Below are 23,023 nucleotides of genomic sequence, written 5' to 3'. Positions count from 1 at the left end.
AACTAACAAAAAATGTTAGTTCCCTTTTTACTATTGTTTTGTAACCATTTCCTACCTACATATTACAGAAGTGACTTTCCAACTCAAAGGGCATTGTCATGTTTATAATTACCCGCTTAATTCATAAAATACGATGTAGGCATTACATATTCTTTAGCCCAGTGGTTCTTAAAGTCTTGCCCCAGACTGCCAGCATCAGCACCACCTAAGAACTTGTTAAAGTACACATTTTCAGGCCCCATCCCATCCTGCTAATTCAGAAACTCTGGGGATGAGCCCAGCAATGTGCTACACCAAGTCCTCCAGGTGATTCTGATGCATCCTCAATTTTGAGAACCTCTGCTTTAGACTGAAGAATATTTTGAAAGTAAGGGGACTTACCCAAAGTTTTTCTTAGGTTGAGAGCTACCTTAAGACAGGTGCTCCCCACTTTCAATGTCCAGTTTCTACAGACTAACTCTCTGCTTTCTACTTTTTGAAACAACAGCATTGACCTCCCACCAATAAAATGGTCAGTGATTCCATTTAGTTTTATATTAAAACATTATAAATTCCTTCTAATTTCATACAGAAGGGATACCCAGATATTATCCAGAGTACCTGCTCTTATGGTGTGAATTTTCTCCAATAACCCTAGGATAACTTGGTCATTCCCCCACAGGTATATTCCCTGCAACTAACTCACTGTGGATGCCTCTGCTAGAACCACAGAAGGGCAGTGCTTCTGCCATACCTCAACCTGAGTTTCCTGGTTTGATCAGATTATTTTTAAATACTGCAAACTCATACATTTATTTTTCTCAAAAAGAAATACTAACATTTTACATTGCTTTATGCAAATAATATTGTTATTTCTTGAAAAAGGCAACTGATTTTCCTAACAAAATTGAGAAAGAGCAAAATGCTTTTTTGTATAAAATGAGCTGGAAATTGAGTCAGAAAAGAATTTCTGAAGGTTGCCATTTCAATAAATGTCAAATACTCAGAGTTATAAGCCAGCCAGCTAAGTGTTTTCCTTTCTTAACTGTTCTCCTCTTGCTTGCTAGTTGGAGAGACAGTGGAGGTGGGGAGAAGATGAACAGGCAGGATTCTAGGACTACTGAGAAGGAAAGGCATGAAATCAGGTGGATTTGGGAACTAGAAGGAGATTTATTAATGGCGAAGAGTTCATTATAAGACCAGAAGTAGGCAGGGACTTATCATGAAGGGCAAAGTGAGGATTAGTTCCTAAAAGTGGTCAAAAGCCATTAAAAGATTGTTAAGTCACTGAAATGATCACTCCAGCATTATAGAATGATCACTTTGCCAACAAGTGATAGAAGGATGGATTCTAGAGAGAAAATGTTGAAAACAATTGCCACAAGGAGAAAGGCGATAAGGACCAAAACTAAATAGCAGTGCCAGTGGAAACAGAAGAAAATGGATTCAATAGCTACATTGGAGGTAGAATAAACAGATCATCCATTCTACTATAGAACTCTACTTAAGAAATAACAACCATGTGCCTTACAGCCTGCTGTCAAGAGTCTCTGCACTAAAAAATTAAATATGCTTAAATTTTTAATTAAATCACTCCTGAACCCCACACACACACACACACACACACACAAATATATGCTTGGGAGGAAAGGGTACACTAACCCACTGTCAAACAAAACCAGACTGTGAAACCCAGTTTATACTCAACTAAAGAAGCACCACTCTACACACAAATGCATGTGCATGTGCACACATACACACACACACATACACATACACACATACACATACACACACATCATTAGAATGTGGCCTTAAAATTGAGTCTGTGCATACTGTGGTTTTGTCATTCTCTCTCATCCGCCAACCCCTACTTCCAATCTAGTCCATTCTATAGGTGATCTACTAGAATTGCTTTCTAAATTGCCCATGCCACCACAGCAAGCATAGATTTTCCAATTCCTTCCAATTTAACTTGAAAAATTCCATTATTACTTTGAGGCAAAGAACCTTCAGTGGACACCTTGTTTTTTCAATCCCTTTGGCTCTTGTCTCCACCCAAGGTTATGTCCTCCATCTTTCCAACTTTTCCATGTCTCCATTCTTCATCTAGCTGTTTGGAGGTTCCCTAGGTGAGGATGGGGCAGTTTCTCTCTATTTGTATTACTGTTCTACACTCCAATTTCTGAGTACTATTTGGGCAGCACTGATAATTGGTTTCCAAGACATGGTTACCATAGTAACACCATTAGATAGTATTATTTAAAAAACAGCAACAAATTAAAAGCCTTCTGTAAGAGAAACAGTGAAAAAAACAGGCAGAGTCCAGTCAAGAACCCAGTTTCTTTGCTGAGTAATTCCCCTCTCCTAAGGACACAATATATTTTAAAAAGCAAGCATTTTCCAAGAGAACATTTCACTGGTTTATTTACTTACTTCATTATGTATTTTTTAGCAGGAAAGGTTTCTGATTTTTTCCATCATTAGACTTTGGTGTGGAAGGAATTGTGTCTGTTCCCCATAATGTTGTTGCTAATCTCTCTGAGCATTCCATTGAGGTCAGCATTGAATTTTGCAGTCCTCAAATCTCTCAGAGAAATTTGTTGAGATTTCCACTATTTTACCTACTCTCTCAGGACCTCATGTACAGATATCCCACTGTGGTAAAAATAATGAAACCCATCAGTCCCCTGGTAGCTGATACTAGTAGCCAGGCTTATGCAAAACTAATTTCTTAAGTTGAAATTGTTTTACTGTATGAGTTATGGTATTATATAATGTAATATTTCTGTCTTGTTTCGATAAAAAATTGTTCCTATTCTTGGCAATTAAAAAAGTTTTATATTAAATTATGGAATTTTCATGGCTTTCAATTTCCTGCTTGCCAATGTTACAGAAAGCCCAATTTAAAATATAAATAAATAAGAGAGTGTTGCATTTTGTACAAGTAGATATTCAGTAATGATCTGAACCTTTTTTCCTTTTAACGTGTATGTCTTTTAAATGCACATGTGATGGATAGCTCCTGCATTTTCATAACATCTAGATTCCGAAGTTCTAAGCAGCAATCAAGGCTGCAGGAGCTGACCTACTGCAATTTTACTACCATGGCAAAATCAGCCCCCTTATTCTAAGCCACACATTTTCAAACGCAGTCTCAGCAGTATACCCTTTTTATGACTCCAGTTTATGCAACTTTTCCTTAGGACCTTAGTTCATCCATATATCTGAGATTCCTAAATTCAGCAAGCTATCAAGTAACAGCATTGCTTTCTTTTTCATCAGTAAAGTATGACTATAGAACAGACCATGAGGAATAAATTGGGGTCACAGAGACATGCCAGTCATGTATCCTCTATGACCTCCATTCAGAAGTTGTGAAAATGTGGAAGCAGACACTTGTACATTTAGAGATATGTACATTTAAAATGAAAAGGAAAAAGAAGAGTTCAAATCATTGCCAAACTAGGGTTCTTTGTGAGTGAAGGGCAAGCGGCCCTAATGAATGCCACAGACCAGGAGCTCACGTTTCACTGCAGAAATTAATAATGAGCCATTTCTAAACAGCACCTCCAAAGGGAATGATTCAAAAGAAGAAAACAAGACTGTATGCATTCTTTTACTCCTGCCAGAAACCCTGAGTCTTATAAATACACCCAGACTCCAGACTTCCAACGGGAACACAACTGAGATTCTCCCACTTAGAGAAAAATCAAACATGGCCATGTGGAAAGGATGAGAGAGAGCCTCCTAATCAGGAATCATAGCACTAGACAGGACTATTCAGGGGTAGAGACAAAGACTATTTTTCAAAAATGTCTTCCTTTGAGCAATTGTGTATTATCTCGGTTGTTATGTTGCCTGGAGCTATAAAACTAATGCACACCAACAAAAATCCTACATATATTGTGAGACTTTTGCATTTCTATCTTTATCCTTGACTAAACATTCAGCAGCAAGTGTCTGTCTGAGTAGAACACTGGGAATATGAGCAGAAGCCCATGATGCATGGTCTAGGGAACAGAAATGTACAGAAGAATTTAATTTAGTCCTTAATGCCAAATAGTTCCCCACCTCCCACATGAAGAACTCTCTGCTAAAATGTGGTTCGTGGGATACCATGGAGGGTTTCAAGGTGAAGGAGTTACTTATCAAACAGACAAGACAAGAATCCATTCAACCCAGTAATGTGAGAGCCTGGCTATTCACGAGAGCAAGTAACTCAATGTGTCATAATTTTCAAGGAGCTTATAAAATTCAATTCCATCTTTCGTCAAAGTGTAGTTACTAATGCTTGTCACCTAGATGGCCTACAGATGTGTCTTAAGGATTAAAAAGTCACTGAATTTAATTTACATATTTCTCTAAAAACAAGAACTCCTTCTGAAATTAACAGAGAATATAGCTTACTGAAAAAAAGTAGAGTTTTTCAGATACAGATAAATGTTAATCACATTAGCAAACCAAAGGAATTATTTATCTATTTAAGTTAAAATATCTGCCTTGGCCTCAATTTCATAGCACACATAGATATATAATTGGTTGGAATTTTTGATAGAGTAATTCAAATAATTGCTTCAGTTACCTACTATCTTTTATTGCTCATTTGCCCTAAAGGCTGGGAAGAACTTTAAAAATAATATAGCTACCTTTTAATTATTCATGGAAAAAGTATTAACAATGTGACAATCTTTTTTACTTTCAGACTTTTACTGCCAGGATTAAATAGAGAAATTAACAGAATAATTTGCCCACTACTCTTCTGCTGTATTTGTATTTGTGTTCTTTTGTTTATCATTTTAAACCAAAATATTGTATTACCCACTCCTACCTGATGAAATCGGTAGAGTTTGCCTTACAAATTTAGAAATTTGTATTTCTCTAAGAAATTACATTATCAAATTCCAGCATGAATTGGGAAGTATCTTAATGCTTGTCATCTAGATGGCCTACACATGTGTTTTATCCTACAGGATAAAAAAGGTACTGAATTTAATTTACATCTTTCTCTGAAAATGAGAGAGATCCTTCTGAAATTAACAGACATTATAGCTGAGTTGGTTTTCAGTTGGATGACCGGATTACTATGTATAAAGTTTTGAATTCCCACACATTTTGTTAAAGTCACTGATAACCAAATAAACTTAACAAACTTCTAAACACACATTAAGATGCCAGAAAAAATACCTGTGGATTATCCATGCAAATGCTACTTTTCCTCAGGGAAGACAATCCAAAATTGACTTAACTGTGTATGGATTGAATACATACTCTGCATGAAAGTCTAATACACTAAATGCTAAAACTTGTTTCCCATTTGAAATCTTTCCGGAAGAAGTAAATCATTGACTTACTCTGCACGAATAGAAAATTGAGTACACTAAACACTTATATTAGTCCCATTACCTTTCTTCAACTAGAAGACTTTTGTTTAATTTCATGAAACTATCCCACCTGACTCAACTATGGTTATAGTTTTGATAAATTGTGTTGTCATATTGCAATGAAAGGTTTATAATCAACAATTTTTTTTACTCTTAAAAAAATGAAGATTTTTATTCCATATTTATAGTAGCAGGTATGTATGTTTGCATCTGAGAACAAAAACTGAGCCAAATAAATAAATTTCCAGAATTGACAAATTAAATGATACATCTGTCCAGACATGGAAACAAATTGTTGAAAACAGTGTTATTTACTACAAAACCACATGCCTCACTTTGCAATGTCTGTACTTGAGGAAGAAAGAAAAAAATGGATGTATTAATTATACATAATGAATGACCTGACAATTTCTGGGTGTTATGATGAAGATGAAGTTTTGAAAGGTTTTCCTGGAGGTTTGCTTCATGCTTCAGGTAAATGTGTATTTCTTCATATTTTAGAATTTTTTTAACTTTTAAGAAATAGATATAGTTTCCATTATGTGTAACTTGCCCAGGTGCACTGAGAAGGCCTCACTGAGCTGGGCAAGAGTCAGAACTTCTGGTTCTCAGGAAGGGATCCCCAGTTCAGGTCAACAAGGCAGAAATACATTATGGCACATATGAATACATTTTGGCACATATGAATACATTTTGGCACATATGAATACACACACATGCACATACATACATATAAAGTGTGTATTCCTAACGTGTATTCCTACGTGTGTGTGTGTGTGTGTGTGTGTGTGTGTGTATGCATTTGTGTTGCTTTCAACATCCAAAAGTCAACTTCTGGATTTCTGCAAACAAAAATAGATATTCCCCATTTATTCATGTATACCTATGGTAACCTAATGATTCTGTTTCTCCTTATATTCTAGATAGTAGCTTGTGTCTTGTCAGTGTTTGATATTTCATTCAGAATAACATGAATAACACATTGCAATAATGTTAATGTGTACAGTAAAATTTTGACTACCTATGAGAAGGTGGATGGAAAACCAATAACCTCACATTTGAAAATGGCATTATCCTAAAAGCCCACTTCCAAACATTTTATCAATATTGACCTTTATTTTAAGATGCTTTGGGAATAGCAGCATTAAAAGACAATTACACCTATTTGTACATCTGCTGTTTTCAAGGCTGTAAATTCAAACTATTCCAAAGCTTTTTCAATAATCATACATACCAGGTATTTATACAATAAACCAGGCAATCTAAAATCCTTAAATCCTAAGCAATTTCCTTCTTCCTCCTTCTAGTTAAATAGAGAAATGAAAATACTGTCTCCTTCCTTGGGGTCTTGTCTCAAATTTCGGTAAGCACATCGTAACTATAGTGATGGGTGTTCCAGACAGAGATATAGCAATTGACAAAGACAAAGTAATCATTCTGAGTTATCATGGATACTGCAGATTGCCCCCAACATCCTGAAAGTAATTGACTAATAAAGTACATTATAATATACAAGACCCAACTCCCCCCCTTTTTTTTGCTGAAGTGGTTGTTCTGTTATATGTAATGCTAAAATAATCTTGACGTAAACTATGAGGTTGAGATTTCTTCCTTTTTCTTCCCTTAACCCAGAACACCACCTGCACAATTAATTTATCACCAATCACTACAGCTCTCAAAGAGAATGGCTCCAGGAAAACAGTAGGCCAATCGTATACCAGGTGCGCAGGCAGTATATTAACTTCTTTCTTTTGGCCCATCTCTCTCTCATTAATGCCTGAGAGCAGGAACCATGTCTTTCTTTGTTTTATGTCTGTAGTATCCAGCAGGGCAGCTGGCACCAAATTGGCATAAAATAACTGCAATTTCAATGAATGAATTTAAATCACTATTTATAGTAATATCTATTGAAACCTATGTAATATCTCAAGTCTTCAAAACCTAAGGAAACAGATATAGTTTCCATTATGTGTAACTTGCCCAGGTGCACTGAGAAGGCCTCATTGAGCTGGGCAAGAGTCAGAACTTCTGGTTCTCCGGAAGGGGTCCCCAGTTCAGGTCCACAAGGCACTGATCCTTTCACCAAGATGGGGAGAGGGCTAGAGGGGGAGGGCAGAAGCCAGTCAGCAGTGTGGCTAATTAGAGAAAAGGAGTCAGGCTGGCAGGACCAAGGGGAAGCAAACAGAAAAAGCAGAGAAGCTATAAATCTGCCTTTCTTCATGGTTCAGGACACCTGGCCCTCCTGCACAAATAAGTCAAAATCTACCTGTGCCCAACTTACCACCAGACCCTCAGCTGATAGAAAAATGCAAGTTAGCTCACTGCAACCTTAACATTATCAGTACCGCACATAGCCCTCTCCAGCACCAGCACCATCCTATAAATCCCCTTGCTTTTGTCTCCTTGCAGTCAGCTCCTCTCTTGCTGACTGTATCCTTAAAATGTATTTTTGTACTTTCTCCAATAAATCTGCCTTTCTTTACCTACAACTGTCTTGGTAAATTCCTTTACCGCCCACACCACTGGTCCTAGCTAGTTACTATCCACAACTGTTGTACAGTGCAAAGAGCAACAGGACATTCCGCCAAGTACAGCCGGCCCAGGAGAGGCTCTTGATCTGGAAAGTCCCACACCCACCCCAAGACGTGCCTATAACTACGTCACCTGGAGACTGAGCAGAGAAGAAAGCCCAGGTTTTTGTTTCTTCACTCCCCCGGGCACAGGGAACAGGGTCCAAGTTATATATTGATTTTTAGATCTGCTGCCCTTTCTGGGTAAGAATCAGAAGTGTATACGTTTTTTCTATTCTTTATCAGGTAAAAAGGTGAGTACCTAGGAAAAATACGTAAAGCTCTACTTTATTTGTCTTCTAACATCACTATCCATGTGTCTCCCAGTTAGTTTATGAGTGAAAGTTCATTGAGAATGAAAAAATTTGCCCAAAATATAAAAAGATGAGGATGGTGGGATTTACAAAAAAGAAAAAATTCACTTCTCAACGCTTACTGCAATTATACTGGTTTAACATGTCATATTGTTCCCAAGAGGCCTGCATTTACATAACTAAAACACACTTCCTTTCAATTTGTTACAAACAAAATACTCAAAATATCACTTTCTGTGACATCTCTATGATTCCTTTGGTAGGTACATGTTTAGGTCACCAATTTTAACCAGAATCTGGTAGCATAAGGCTCTGTCCCAGGCATCAGAAAAAAACACATCTTTTATCTTCTCTTTGAAAATCAACTATTGACAAGATTGTTTATGCTTTTAAAAGCACTAGAATCTGCTGAGGAGCTGTGCCACAAGGGTGTGCATAAATGACACCTCTGAGCTTCCTGCCTGTCAGAACTTAGTAATCTCCTCCTCCTGCCCCGTCACTCCCATGCATTTTGTCAGAAAGAGACAGAGAATCAGGTACAGTCTCTCATTTAAACAGCAAGGTGTAAAAAGCTCTTAGGAGGCCAGGCACGGTGGCTCACTCCTGTAATCCCAGCACTTTGGGATGCTAAAGCAGGAGGATCACTTGAGGCCAGGAGTTTGAGACCAGGGTGGTCAACATAGGGAGACATTGTCTCTAAAATAAATAAATAAATAAACAAACAAAATGAATTTTTTTAAAAAATTAGCCAGGCATTGTGGTGCCACCTGTGGTCTCAGCTACTTGGGAAGTTGAGGCAGGAGAATCACTGGAGGCTGCAGTAAGCTATGATCAAACCACTGCACCCCAAGCCTGTGCAACAGAGTGAGACCTTGTCTTGAGAAAATAAAAAGCTCTTAGGATGCCTGCTCACTCCCCCGGATTCTAGTGATGTCTCACATTCCCACAACCTATGTTGTTCCACCTGAATAAGACAACCTAATTTGTATTAGTTCCTCATCAAGCTCAAAACCCGCCATTTAGGGGTACTTAGGAGCTCTGTGCCAAATGCTTTACCTAAACTTGATTTTCTAATCTTTACAACCACTTAATGAAGTAGGCGCTGTCGCTGTCGTTATCTCCAGACCATACAAACCTAAACTCAGAGAGTGTATGCATCTTGCCCAAGGACACACGGTAAGCGAGAGAGCTGGGATTCAAACCCAGAACGTTCTGAGCTCTCATCTGGACTGCAACCACTCTGCTCTCAGGCTGCTCCCTAACGCTCTCTCCACCCCCAAATAAAATCATTGCTTCAAAAACACTGAAAGGCCAATCTCACAAGAATGCTTTTCTTTTTAAAAATTGATTTGCTGTATTACACACTACTACGTGCTCTCTTATATTTAAGCAGTTATGTGTTTTTTTAAAGGGTACACACTGGATTAAAAATATGAGTTAGGCATTTATGTTGAGAGCATTATTAATAACTTCAGTTAATTGGTATTGCAACGCTGACTACTCCGTCTGAGGGCTATTAAATCACCAGAGGTCTGAACTGCATCCTTGGGAAGTCTGCGCCCCTCCCCGCAGCGTTCCTCCGCCATCTAGAGGCGCGGCTCTGAAGCGAAGTGTTCAGCGCTGAGCTCTGAAATGCATCCCTGAGCCACTAACCAGTTCTGAGGTTTTCAGTCTTCTTTTCTCTTCCTTTAAAAACAAAGTTGCTTTCTTCATAAATCTTCAAACAATGCTATCAAAGACCAATTGTATTAAATAAAATATGATGTTGGCATTTTTATGGTAATAAGTTTGAGAATGGCAATCATGAGAAAAAACAGCTCATTAAAGACCTCTATTGTTGGCATTTTAGGAATACCTGCGTACTGTCTACACACAGCGATCAATCACCAGATTATGAGAGCAGTGATTCATCTCTCCTTGAATTTGTCCAATATTTGAATATTCATCATATAAGTTGCTTGATGTTCTCAAACAGCAATAAGAAATAAATATTTCTCAAATACCAGTAAGAAAGTGAAACAGCAAGATCTAATTTCCTAACCTTTGCCTTATAAAAGAAAAATCAGAGGAAAAATTGCTAGTGGCATGTTATCTGATTGCTCATTGTAATAATAATGATAAGACAACTAACGTTTATTGAGTTTCTACTGTGTTTCTATAATCTTATGTATTCATACATTATTTCTAATCTCACAACAATTTGAAAATTATTAAAATCATTATGTGAGAAATAAACTGAGGCTCGGACAAATGATAAAATGGTAAATTGTAAGCGGTAACCGATGAAGCTGGCATTTAAAACAAAAACTTCAAATACCCGTTCTCTTTTCACTATTTCATGTTAGTTTGAAAATAATGAAGAGCTACTTATTTATCCAACGTGGCAAGTAGTAAGTTAATATTCATCTGAATATTTTGCATTAGAGATAACCAGTGAAATTATTTAACTCGTTTAAAATCTGTTTGAAAGTCATTGAGGCCGGGTGCAGTGACTCATGCATGTAATCCCAGCATTTTGAGAGACCAAGGCAGGTGGATTACTTGAGGTCAGGAGTTACACACCAGCCTGGCCAATATGGTGAAACCCCCTCTCTATTAAAAATGCGAAGAATTGGCCAGGCATGGTGTCTCACGCCTGTAATCCCAGCACTTTTTGATGCCAAGGCGGGTGGATTGCCTGAAATCAGAAGTTCAAGACCAACCTGGGCAACACGGTGAAACCCCGTCTCTACTAAAAAAATACAAAAAATTAGCCGGTTGTGGCAGTGTGTACCTGTAATCCCAGCTACTCGGGAAGCTGAGGCAGGAGAATTGCTAGAAGCCGGGAGGCAGAGGTTGCAGTGAGCCGAGATCGAGCCACTGCACTCCAGCCTGGGTGATACAGTGAGACTCCATCTCAAAAAATAATAATAATAAAAATAAAAAGGCAAAGAATTAGCTGGGCATGGTGATGCCCATCTGTAATTCCAGCTACTCAGGAGGCTGAGACAGGAGAATCACTCAAGCCCCAAAAGGTGGAGGTTGCAGTGAGCCGAGATGGCACCTCTGCCCTCCAGCCTGGGCAACAGAGCAAGCCTCCATCAAAAAAAAAAGAAACAAGAGAAGAAAAGAAAAGAAAAGAAAAGAGAGTTATTGAAAGAGGATAATTTTAAAATTGAGTTTACAATTTGACCTACTGCTATGACAGATGAAATTATTCAACCTGAAGAATACCCAAGGGTGAAGATAATAGAGAAGGTTAATAAAAGAAGGATATGGACAAAGCAGAGGTAAGCATGACTTGATAACATAATTTTGTAGGAGATTCTTAAGCATGTTTCAAAAAAATTCACCACCTCCAAGTTCGTAGGCAGCTAACCTCGTTCTAGATAAAGAGTTAAACCTGCATGCCAGTGGTCATGACCCTTCTTGGAGGAGCTCAATGGTCCTAAACAACATAGGCCAACATTGTAAAGTCTTCTTCTAATCCATTCTCTAGTTATTTTTGGCTTCTCCAGAATCTGTCTATTGTTCAGGCTTTCTACTGAGGTTTATATTTGGTGACATTTTATTCACTTAGATATATTTGAACAGAAATATGTCATAAATGTTGAATATTTAATGTCCTGGAAGATTTTTAATGCAAATGCTTACAAATAGTTATAATATATTCCTGTAGAAAATATATATACTGCTGCCTCAAGACAGAAAAAGGAATGATTATGAATACTTGGTGGGGTCGGCACAGAAGAGAGAAGGCACAGTTGCCTGCCACATGTAAGTGTGGATTCTGGGGTGTTTTTTTAATTGTAAAAGTAGCATATGGGCATTGTGTTCTTGGAATGTTAAAACTAGATGGGATGTAAATATCATCTATTCTAGTCAACATTATATTTTTCACAGATGAGAAAGCTGAGGCCCATAGAGATGAAAGGATTTGCTCAATACTCACAGCAAGATAATGACAGACCCAAGAATAGAACCACGTGTCCCAATTGCCAGTCTTGATCTTTAGTTGCACAATACGTGCTATACGTGCATATTTCTTCCTACTCACACACAATGTAGGTAAATCTGATGAATATCCAAATATGTGTCTTTGCTGGCTGTAGCAGAAATAGTTAGGTGCCTAGAGCAGTGCCTGGCACATAGTTGACACTCAGTGAATATTGCTTAAATGTTGAATGTCTACATGAACACATTCACTTGTTGACATCTACTCTAGCCATTACTGTAGAAGAGAAGGCAGTGGAGAGAATGATACTCGGAGGACAATTTTTGGCATAAATATCTTCCATTTTTTGTTTTTCATGTGATGGAAATTGAGGGAGAATTTCAGGTGTGCCATATGGAAAAGCATTATCCTTTAGTCATAATTCCAAAGAACTTAACGCAGGAAAGAGAAAACATTTGGCACCATAAATAAAGACAAATGATGTAATAAGACAGGTAGTCTTCGAATACGTAAATTATCAAAATACAAATTAGTAGTTTATAAAATTTAGTCATGCGATAGATAAATATTAGGCTCATTCTAAGAGAAATATAATAACATAGGTTAAGTACATTCTCTGAGCTGTGTCAACCTTGACATCTAGAGAGTCAGTAGTAGCTAGAGGGTCTTATGTGGGATCTTACCTTCTAAACAGCCCCCATATGACTTCATACTGCTTAAAATTATGAATGTTCAAGGAGCACATCTAACAGGAATTCAAAAGGCCCATTCAAAATTCAACCATAAATCTCAACCTCATCCATGAAAAGAGAAATGTGAATTAAAACCATACCATTTTTCCCCATTACATTGTGAGAATTTAAAATTGTGTTAACACTCTGTTGTCCACGCTGTGGGGAAATAGACATTCTTATATGTTGCTGCTCAGATTACACATATGGAGTGTATTTTTTCAATACCTATCAAAATGACAACTGCATCTACCCCTTGACCCTACAGTTTCACTTCTGTGAGTTTATCCTACATACATACTTGCACTCATGTAAAAAATAATAGTTAAATGTTTCTCATTGCTGATTGTTTATGATAATGAAAGAGTGGAAACAACTCAAGTGTCCATCTATAGGGGAATGGTTAAATAAATTATTGTACATTCATATAATTGAATGTCTATAAAAAAGAATAAGCCAGCTTCCTGTGGGCTACTCTGGAAAGATCCCCCAAGAAAAATTGCTAAGTGAAAAAAAGCCAGGTGTTGTACATGATGTACAACACATTCCCTTTTGTATAGGAAAGAGAAGAAAACAATATATCAGTATTTGTATATGCACTTTTTTAATTCTGGAAGGGCACATAAAACACTGACAACAGTGGTTAACTGTGGCTGGAGGAGGATAAGAAATGGGCAGATGCAGGACAAGAATGGGATGCAGGATTTTTCACTATGTAGCTTTTATTTCCACTGAATTTTGAAAAATTTGAACTCTCTTCAGCTTTAAAGGGGGAGGAGGGTGTGGTAACATACTAATAGGGATTTTGCCCGGGTGCTCAGAGTTAACATGGGGCAGTTCCACAGAGAGTCCTGGGCAGGCAAGTGGCTGTAAGTGTGAATGGGTATCCTGGAGGCCAGAGCAGCACAAAAAGAGGAGAGGCAGCAGCTATCCAAGTCAGACTGCTGCATTCACAGCTGAACCCGAGATTGACAGGAGAGAGGAAGATGACTGTAAATTGTAACTTTTGGATCCTCTGACTTCTAAAATGCATTTTGATATAGAATCTGGTTCTGGCTGAATTAAAACTCAACAGATCTTGAAAATATTTTTGCTTTTAATGGACTGCATACCTGCCCTAGGCAGATGACATGGTGGGGAGGTGCTTGTAAATACACATAAGAACTAAGGCAAACGGGTGTCTTCCCAAGAGCCAATGCACACATACTTTCATATATGCATAAAAGTTATAAATCCTAAGGCTAATATATTGTGAATTCACTTTTATTTTACTCTCGAGAAATAGAAATAGAAATAGAAATAACCTTACCAAAAACAAAAAATGAAAAATAAAACAGGATACATGATGATTTGTTGACAGGGGCATATTAACAATAATGATACTCTCAATGCTACACTTGGATACTATAAATAAGAAAATATGTGGACAAAAGGATGAATACATGATTCTCCACTGCAGCATTATTGTGCAGAGGCGTAATTTTACTCCCAAGCTCTTTGGCATAAATATTTAGGTACACCTAGAGATTTCCCAAAGCTATTGACAACCTGTTGCTCTCTAAATCTAAATGATATTTTCCTGTTTGAGATGAAGTCAATATGAGAATTACTCAGTTTATACTTTCGTTACTTTAACGATAATTTTAAAGATATGCCATTGAATTCTGTCTCCCTGAAAACAGAAAGGCTTTATAATCCCTGTTCCTCTAAATGTATCTGAATCATAGGCCTAGAAAGTTTACAAGAAGACATTTTTTCTGGCCACTATCTATCAGAGAGATGTATAGATATATAATATAGTCCTATTTGGGGGGAAATTTTCCCAGCAAAGAGATTTTTCCTACATTTTCCATAGGTGAATTCTGCCTTTAAAATTTAATAATGAATTAAACTGTGAAACCCAGGAAAGCTAGCCATGCACTGGTTCTCCACTGAGGACAATCTTGCCCCTCCCTTCACACCTGGATGTTTGGCAATGTCTGGGGATATTTTCGGTTATCACAGCTGGTAAAGTAGGGAGGTTGGTAGTGCTATAGGCATCTTGTGGACAGAGGCCAAGGATGCTTCTGAACATCCCACAGAGCACAGGACAGCACCCACAACAGAGAATTATCCAGCCCAAAATGTCAATAATGCCGAGGTTGAGAAGCTTGACCCTGTGTTATAAGATAGATAATTGTATTTACATTTTTCAGATTAAGTTTGGAATTCTGGCTAGAGCACACACATAAAGGATGCTTCTGTTATTATGTCCATTCCTAAGGTTAACAATTGTTTATATACTTCAGAAAGTGAAAATGAGATTGCATTTTTTTAATGTGCTTGATATAATGTGGTTTGCGTTTTACACTAGAAAGCACTTTCATTTGTTTACAATTCTGAGTCAAAGGATAATAATAGTCTTGGGAACAAAAAGGGAAAATAAAAACATGTTCAAAATTCACTAATTATTAATTAGTAAAATTATTAAGATTTATGAATTTTTTCTCTGCTACAAACTACAATCAGAATTGTCTTTAGTTGTGACATGTATATCAGAATTGCTTTACAATTTGATGTATTATGCCAGATCACATCCAAAACGTTAGCCAGGTCTATACATCCAAAGCATAATTAAATGAGTCAGTCATTTACATCCACAGTGGCTCACAGAATGATAAGAATCACAGGCCTAATTGACACATTTTCATACCATGGTTGCAGCCAAGCAGTGAAACTGTGATTAAACAAACTAACCAAATCTTTTGGACTCCAATCTCTCCACAATTACATAGATAGAAATTTTAGATTCATTTTAACCATCACCAAAATGTTACAGCTCCTTTTCAGATAATTTCTCTTACCAAAAAACCTTGACTTTTTAATCTAGGTCAAGTGGAGATAAAAAGTAAACAAACCAGTGACATGAGAATCCATTGACCTCTATTGCAGTGTACACTGGGGAATCTGGAATTTACTAAATGAATCCAGACTGGGGAAATAAATATGGGAAAACCTAGAACTTCAGACCTAATGTTTATGGAGCAATACTTTTGACCAAATAGTACACTCTAGTAACAGCATTTGATTATTTTCCAGAAAGAAGAGAAAGTAAAAATTCCATCTCAACATGCAATTTTCTAGCAAGGTAACTATACGATGAGTAAAAGTAGGCTTTCACAATAATGTGGAGACAGCCTATTTCAACTTAAATTTAAATGTGCTGTTGAGTTTGCATTAAGTTTCATGAATATGAATCATTTACAAAGTGACTTAAAATATGTCTGTGATCATGTGTGGGTTCAAAACAACTTTGTGTCCTTTGGATTTTGTGTGTCATATAAAATACTTTCATGCCTTTGGAAAAAGAAACCTTACATATACAGACAGTCTTTTCAAATTGGTAGAGACAACACAGACTCATTATTTTCCATTACTTCTTCAACTTTTAAAAATTGGTCCTGAGGGCCAGGCACAGTGGCTTAGGCCTGTAATCCCAGCACTTTGGGAGGCTGAGGTGGGCGGATCACTAAAGGTCAGGAGTTCGAGACCAACCTGGCCAACATTGTGAAACCCCATCTCTACTAAAAACACAAAAACTAGCCAGGCGTGGTGATAGATGCCTATAGTCACAGCTACTCAGGAGGCTGAGGCACGAGAATCGCTTGAGTGAGACTGTCTCAAAAAACAAAACATGATCCTGAGAATCAAAGCACATAAAGTTCAAAAACTAACTGGACATCTGTGCTGTAAGTCAACTGACAATTTAAGCATCGGACTAGACTCACAGAGCCTCCAAGCTCTGCTGGTGTTGCAAGGTTCTTGAAATGTCCCTCTCCTTCCAGTATGTGGAGTTCTGTCACTGTCACCAATTGGTATTATTTTTATCCCTGAAAGACAAAATTTCTTTCATGTCCTTCCCCTACAGCACAGACCTCATAAACTGCAGCTCAGAATATGTGAGCTGAATTTTTTAAGCTCTCAAAGAGTGAAGCGGAAGGGTCCAAATGTCAATTAAAGGGTCCAGTTGGAAACAGAATGATGCCCTGTGCCTTTTAGAGGTTGGCTGACAGAGATTTTCCAGGACCCCGGGTAAACTTTCCCTCACCTTTACAAGATTGATTAAACCATACTCATTTCTTATTGACGGAAAAAAGCAATTTTGAAGAACACTTATATTGACTCACTTTTTTTTCTGCAACTTATAATTTACAAATATCTTTCATTCAATCCTCCTAACAACCATATAAATTAAACATTATTTGTCATTACCAATATTAGTATTATTAATGTTATTTCTGTTGCTGAGAGGAGGCTCTAGCAAATTGACCAAAATAAGGACTTAATTTCAAAAGATCTGGAACTGCACTTTCTATATGATTTTTTCCATATGAATTCAAGCAAACTGCTTTCACCTCTTTGAGGATCTGCCTCCTTATCCATAAAGTTGGCCTAAAACAGACATGCCACAGAGTTACAGGAAGAACTAAACAATATACCATAAGTGAAAGTGTCCTCAACAGTGCTCACAACACTGTTTATGTAATCCTATTTTTAAAATGAGGTTAGTTGGTTTGGTTTGGTTCATAGTTTTTGAATGAGGCCATGATGACTCACAGAAAGGATTTGCCCAAGGTCTCACAGGCTAGTATGGTAGAGCAGAATGGAATCTAAGTTTTTGGAATAGGTGCTATATGGAGAACAACCAGACCCTTCCTATCCCTACCCTGCCCATCATGAGCAAAGCACTCATTCTTTCAGCTGCTGGTGGGATGGGTGACAGACAGCTCACAGATGCATCCCTCTCTGGGCATTGCCTTAGGCCTAAGGGAGCTGCATCCCCCAGAGTTGTGCATCCTCCCCAGGGTTGGGTGCTATCCCCCAACTAGTCAGTCACTGTAAGATATAGAGGCCTGCCTCCTTGCTTCAACTCTAGGTAATATTGAAAGGCCTTCCTAGTTCCAGAGATCCCTATAGGATCAGCTGAAGCATCTGTTGTAGTTCCATCATAGTTCAGTTTCTCCTTCTGCCCAGTCTTGCTTCCCTTACCTCTTGTAGGTGCTGATCCCCAGACCAATCCCCAGTAAACATCCTGCTCACAAATCTCCATCTCAGGGTTGCCCAGGAACCATACTTAAGACAGTCTCCTGACTCTAAATTCCATGTTCTTGGCACAACAGTACGTGTGAAAGCAGGGAAACATTTCTTGGTAATAAAACTATATCTGCCTGCCGACTTGTCAACCGATCTTTTAAGAATATAAAATAGAACCTGCCGTTTTAGATCATCGCAGGACAGCTTCAGGATCATGAAGGATCACAGAGTACAAAGCAAAATTAAACACCAATAATATGTTCTGCTGTTTATTTTGTGGGAGAAAATACAAAATGGGATAAAACTGCCCCCTGCTATCAAGGAGAGGGCACTCAAAATGCCTAGGATATCAACTCTCTATAGAGAAAGAGAGCAGAGAGACAAGGCAGCTGCATAGACACTGCTGCATTAGGGGTCTTAACTCCATCAAAGTGTACACACAAAGAATATTAGTTATTGGCCACAGAGTAGTCATGAGCCATCCCTAGAAGGTTGTCTGTACGTGATGTGTCTTGTTGTCGGGAACCACACCTCACCCACAGAGGTCTTCTCAGAGCAGTCGTGTTTCTACTATCATTACCTTCTTAAGGATGTTTGGGTTAAACTGAGCCAATCACATTCTTTCTGTCAACAATTTGGACTTTTAAATCAAAAGACCTAGAGATTGCTGGTCTCAATAATGTGAACTGCAGAAAAGGGACCACAACTGGCTGCTGCTGCAGCCCCAGAGCAACCCTGTCTCCCAAGACCTAGAAGCACCTCTTCCTTGGATTCTAAAAGACATACTATTTTCCAAGGAGTTTGGTAAAGCAATCTGAATTGGGATTCTCTTACTTGAAGTCCGAAGAAACTTAACTACTCCAAGTTCTCTGTGAAGTTTTGTATAAAGCCCCAGAAATCTTAATTATATCTTTGGCAGAGAGAGAATGTCTGCCTATGTAAACTGTTTCCCACATGCTAATGTTGCTAAAAGCAAAAGAAAGCTTGAAAAACCGACACCTGTCTCGATGCTGCAGGATAGGATGACAAAGGCAGAAATGGAAAAAAATCTACTTTAGCAACAGAAGGTTCTTAATAGGTCATGTCATTTCTTTCTTAAAAGCCTCCAATAGCTTCAAACCACATTTTAAATAAAATCTAGTCTTTACATTGGCAGAACCCTATATTACTTACCTTAGCTAACTCTTGGTCATCTCTGACCTCATCTCCTTCTACTCTCCTCTTCATTTACTCCATCCAGACACACTGGTCTCTTTATTCTTCTCAAGCACACTCCCACCTCAGGGCCTTTGCACTTACCGTTTCTTGATCCAGACATCAATATGTCCTACAGATACCTGCATGGCTTATTCTCTCTCGTCCTTCAGGTCTCTCTGCTCAAATGCCATCTTCTCGGAAAGGCCTTCCCTGACCTGTCATCTAGAAAACTAGCCCTGCTCTCTCTCTCTCTCTCACTCTCTCTCTCTCTCTTTATTCTCATATTCTTCTTAATTTTTCTTCATAGTACTTGTCACTACCTAACGTTACACATTATAACATGGGTTATATGTTACACCTAATATACATAGAAAACTTGCATATTTGCTAATTATCTATTCCTACTAGATTGTAATCTCCATTATGTTCATGAATTGGTATATTTTTGTTCATTGTAAAGTGACTAGCACATAGAAAGTTCTTAAATGATATTTATTAATTAGATGAATAAACAAATGATTAAAATCTAAGCACTTAGATATTTCATTTGGAGGGAGAGTATCAAGAGTGTGTGTTGAGGATTGTGGATGACTTTCTTTCACCCCTCATGTCCCTCAAGTTGAACAATAACAGCAGGCATAGCCCCCAGGAGAAGAGTCGTGGTAGGCTAAAGCCCACAAAGGGAGCAGCTCTTCCTTCTGATGTCATTTTAGCACGCATGTGCCATAGGACCAGGTAGTGAGCACCTTGAGCCTTTAAGAACAGGGAGAGTCTCTGAAAGATAGAAAGTCAGGTGGTTTTAATGGCTACAACCAGAGTAATGAGTTCTGGCAAGGGCAGTCTCAGGCTGGGGTGCGGGAGGGAGACGAGACTCGGGAAGGAGGGAAAGATGGCAGGCTTGCTAGCTCTATTGAAGCATCTGCCCTGAAAATGCAAATAGGTATGATCTCCTCAAGAGAAAAATATATCAAAAGTCTCAAAAATGTAGTACTTTTTGATGTAGTAATTTTATTTATGGGAATTTAAGACAATAATAATAGATGACTAGAAAGATTTCATTACAAGGATGTCGGCATTGTGTGTAATCATAATCATGAAAATTTGGAAATGACATATACGTCTAGTAATAGGGGCTGAGTAAAACAAGTCATGAACATCCATGCAGGGAGATACAATGAAACCATTAACATGATGTTAAAATATTTAGAGGTTTGAAAAGTAATTACAGTCCAGTTTTAAGTTTAAAATGTATTCTATCTTTTAAATATGGTATAATGCCAGTTAAGTTTAAAATAAATGTACATTTTTACTTTAAAAATTTTGGAAGGAAATTTAGTGATTATTTAGTTATTAAGTTGCCCTTAACTATTTGAAATACATATAGTTTTGATTATTTTATTGCTGTTATACCTTTACTCCAGAATCAGCTATAATGAATGCATATTACGTTTTAATAAAAATACTATATATTTTGAAACTATATGCCAAAGAAAATGTACTTTGTATGCCCCAGAAGATTGAAAAGAAAGCAACTATTCATTGCAATGACAGAGAATAATTTGTGTGATACTTCTTAGAGATATTGTCCTATCTTGCCACCTTGAAATGATAATAAATAACAACCACTCTTACAATGAAGCAGTGTCAGAGGGCTACAATGGGAAGCCAAAGTAATATTAATAGTCCCCAAAGTCGTACGTCAAGCAAATGCGAAAGTTCTCTAGAGAAAGATGCTGGTAGAATAAATAATCAAGAACAGGAGACTGTACCTCTGGTAAATAGTGCTCTTTGTGAAGTGGCATAAACAGAACAGGTTTTAGAAGCATTGATAATTTTAATCCCTACACTAATTTTTTACTTATGGTAATAAATATTTCAAGAGTTACATTATTAGGTTCATATAATCACCACATAGTTTGTGAAAAAAACAAAGATTTGGAAAAATTTGATTCACATAACCACATTTAAAATTATTTTGCTTGTATTAAAGGATTTATAAAATCAATATATCTGCAAGTTAATGAATATATCTGTCCTATAAGTGTATCTTCCTCTCTTTTATTTCTCACTATCCCAAGCTTTCCTGCTCCCCAATACACACACACACACACGCACACACACCATGATATCAAAAACAACTAGTATTTCTTTGCAACTTTACCTGGTAAATTTTCTGCTCTCTGGCAATCTAGTTACAATAACTCTGTTTTCTGTTTTTGCTACCTAGAAAAAAATCCAAAGGAAATTGTGTTTCATTGATTCATAAAACCACTGCTAAGCTTATAAACTTCTCTTTAAATTTCTCTCTAAATTTCTCTTTTTTCATTCAAATCACACTGAACATAAATTGGTTAGAGAAGAAGGGAATCATAGTGAAGCTCCATGGAAATAGCCACCTTTTCCTCATTCATTGCAAATAGGAATGTGATCAAATCTGCACTTCCACTTAAGCCTAGGAAGACAAATTTTCCCAGATCTAATGGCTTATAAAGGATTTTTACTATTGTGCTGGAGAAGAACAAAAGGCATACTTTACACTCTGATTTAGGGGAATTAGAGAGTATGACATTCTAGGAGAGAACATTCCAACCTGTGAGCTCGTCAAAGCTGACCACTGCAGAATTGTTCAAAGAGGAAGCCTGTTTTTGCTCTATTTCTTGTTCAGTGTCTCTTAACAGCTCACAATTTCTACCGAGAATTCTTAAGGAAAAAGACTTCAGTGAGTATAAAAAATAAAGACTATTTAGCTTGGGTCCCCCAAGAAACAGATCCTGAGGCAAGGATTTAAGTGAACATTTATTTGGGAGGTTCAGGAAACTCCAGTAGCAGAGTAGGAAAGAGATACAGGGAAAGGAAGGCAACCAATGGGGAGTAAGCTGGCAAGCAAATGTGTTGGTTAGTTTCTGCTGCATAACAAACCACTCCATCACTTACTGACTTTAAAAACAAACATGTATAGTCTCTCTCACTTTTGTGAGTCATCCAGATGGTTCTTCCTACCTGGACTGTCTCAGCTGATATCTACATTCAGCTGGACACTCTACCAGGTCTACTTGTCTTCAATGGCCAGGTGCATGTCTAATGGTTGGTCTAGGTGGCTTTAGTTGGAATAGCTGGTCTCTCAGTCTCCATCTCTCATCCTCCAACAGGCTAGCTTGGACTCCTTTAGGGGGCATTCTCAGGTTCCAGAAAACTAGCCCCAACATGCAAGCACTTTTCAAGCCTCTGATTGGGTCATATTTGCTAATCTCCCAATGAACAAAGCAAGTCCATCTGGATTCAAGGTTGAGGAAATGGACTCTATGTTTTGATGGGGCATCTGCAATATCACATGACAGGCAAGAGGAGAATTTGTGGTTAGTTTATAATTCACCAAAACCACCTGCCATACTGGGTTATTGGAATTTAATCTGGCAGGGAAATTATAAATTATATTTCAGAATTAATCCATCTAATCCTAGGAATGAGGAAACTGAGATATTTATATATGAGTCTTATTAGTGATTGAAGGACTGTTTCAAGATTGTTAACACCTGAGAAATTCTGGCCAACTGCACAGGAGCAGCCAGAGTGGTTCAGGAACAGACCTCAGGCACACCGATGCAGACATTGGCAGTTGGAAGTCTTCTGGAGCAACAAGAAATAATAAGTCCTGAGGATAATAATGAGGCCTTGTTTGTAAATGATACAACATTTACTATTCAAAATAATTCAGCCATCTAAGGCAGATCGCTTCAAATAGTTCATGTTAAATTCTAACTCTACTTTGTTTGATTTTTTAAGTCTTAAGACAGTAAAATGCCAGAAAAGTGGCATGCAATACCCCTTACCTGTTTTGTGG

At 37.7% G+C, this 23,023-nt stretch overlaps 2 long non-coding RNA genes across 2 annotated transcripts in view; both read right to left on the bottom strand.

Moving 5' to 3' along the window:
* LOC107986815 (uncharacterized) overlaps window positions 1-21,397 on the bottom strand; it is a 32,906-nt gene extending 11,509 nt beyond the window's left edge. Inside the window, exon 1 of the long non-coding RNA XR_001745260.2 lies at window positions 21,344-21,397. This is a non-coding gene — a long non-coding RNA (uncharacterized LOC107986815). The remainder of the gene's footprint in view (window positions 1-21,343) is intronic.
* Window positions 21,398-21,960: 563 nt separating this feature from the next.
* The window catches only part of LOC124901692 (uncharacterized), a 41,815-nt gene continuing 40,752 nt past the window's right edge, over window positions 21,961-23,023 (bottom strand). Inside the window, exon 2 of the long non-coding RNA XR_007060420.1 lies at window positions 21,961-22,501. This is a non-coding gene — a long non-coding RNA (uncharacterized LOC124901692). The remainder of the gene's footprint in view (window positions 22,502-23,023) is intronic.

The sequence above is a fragment of the Homo sapiens genome, chromosome 7 (assembly GCF_000001405.40).
Source record: "Homo sapiens chromosome 7, GRCh38.p14 Primary Assembly".
Taxonomy (NCBI): Eukaryota; Metazoa; Chordata; class Mammalia; order Primates; family Hominidae; genus Homo; species Homo sapiens.
The sequence above is the reverse complement of the archived record's forward strand: the minus strand, read 5'-3'. Positions and strand labels throughout refer to the sequence as shown.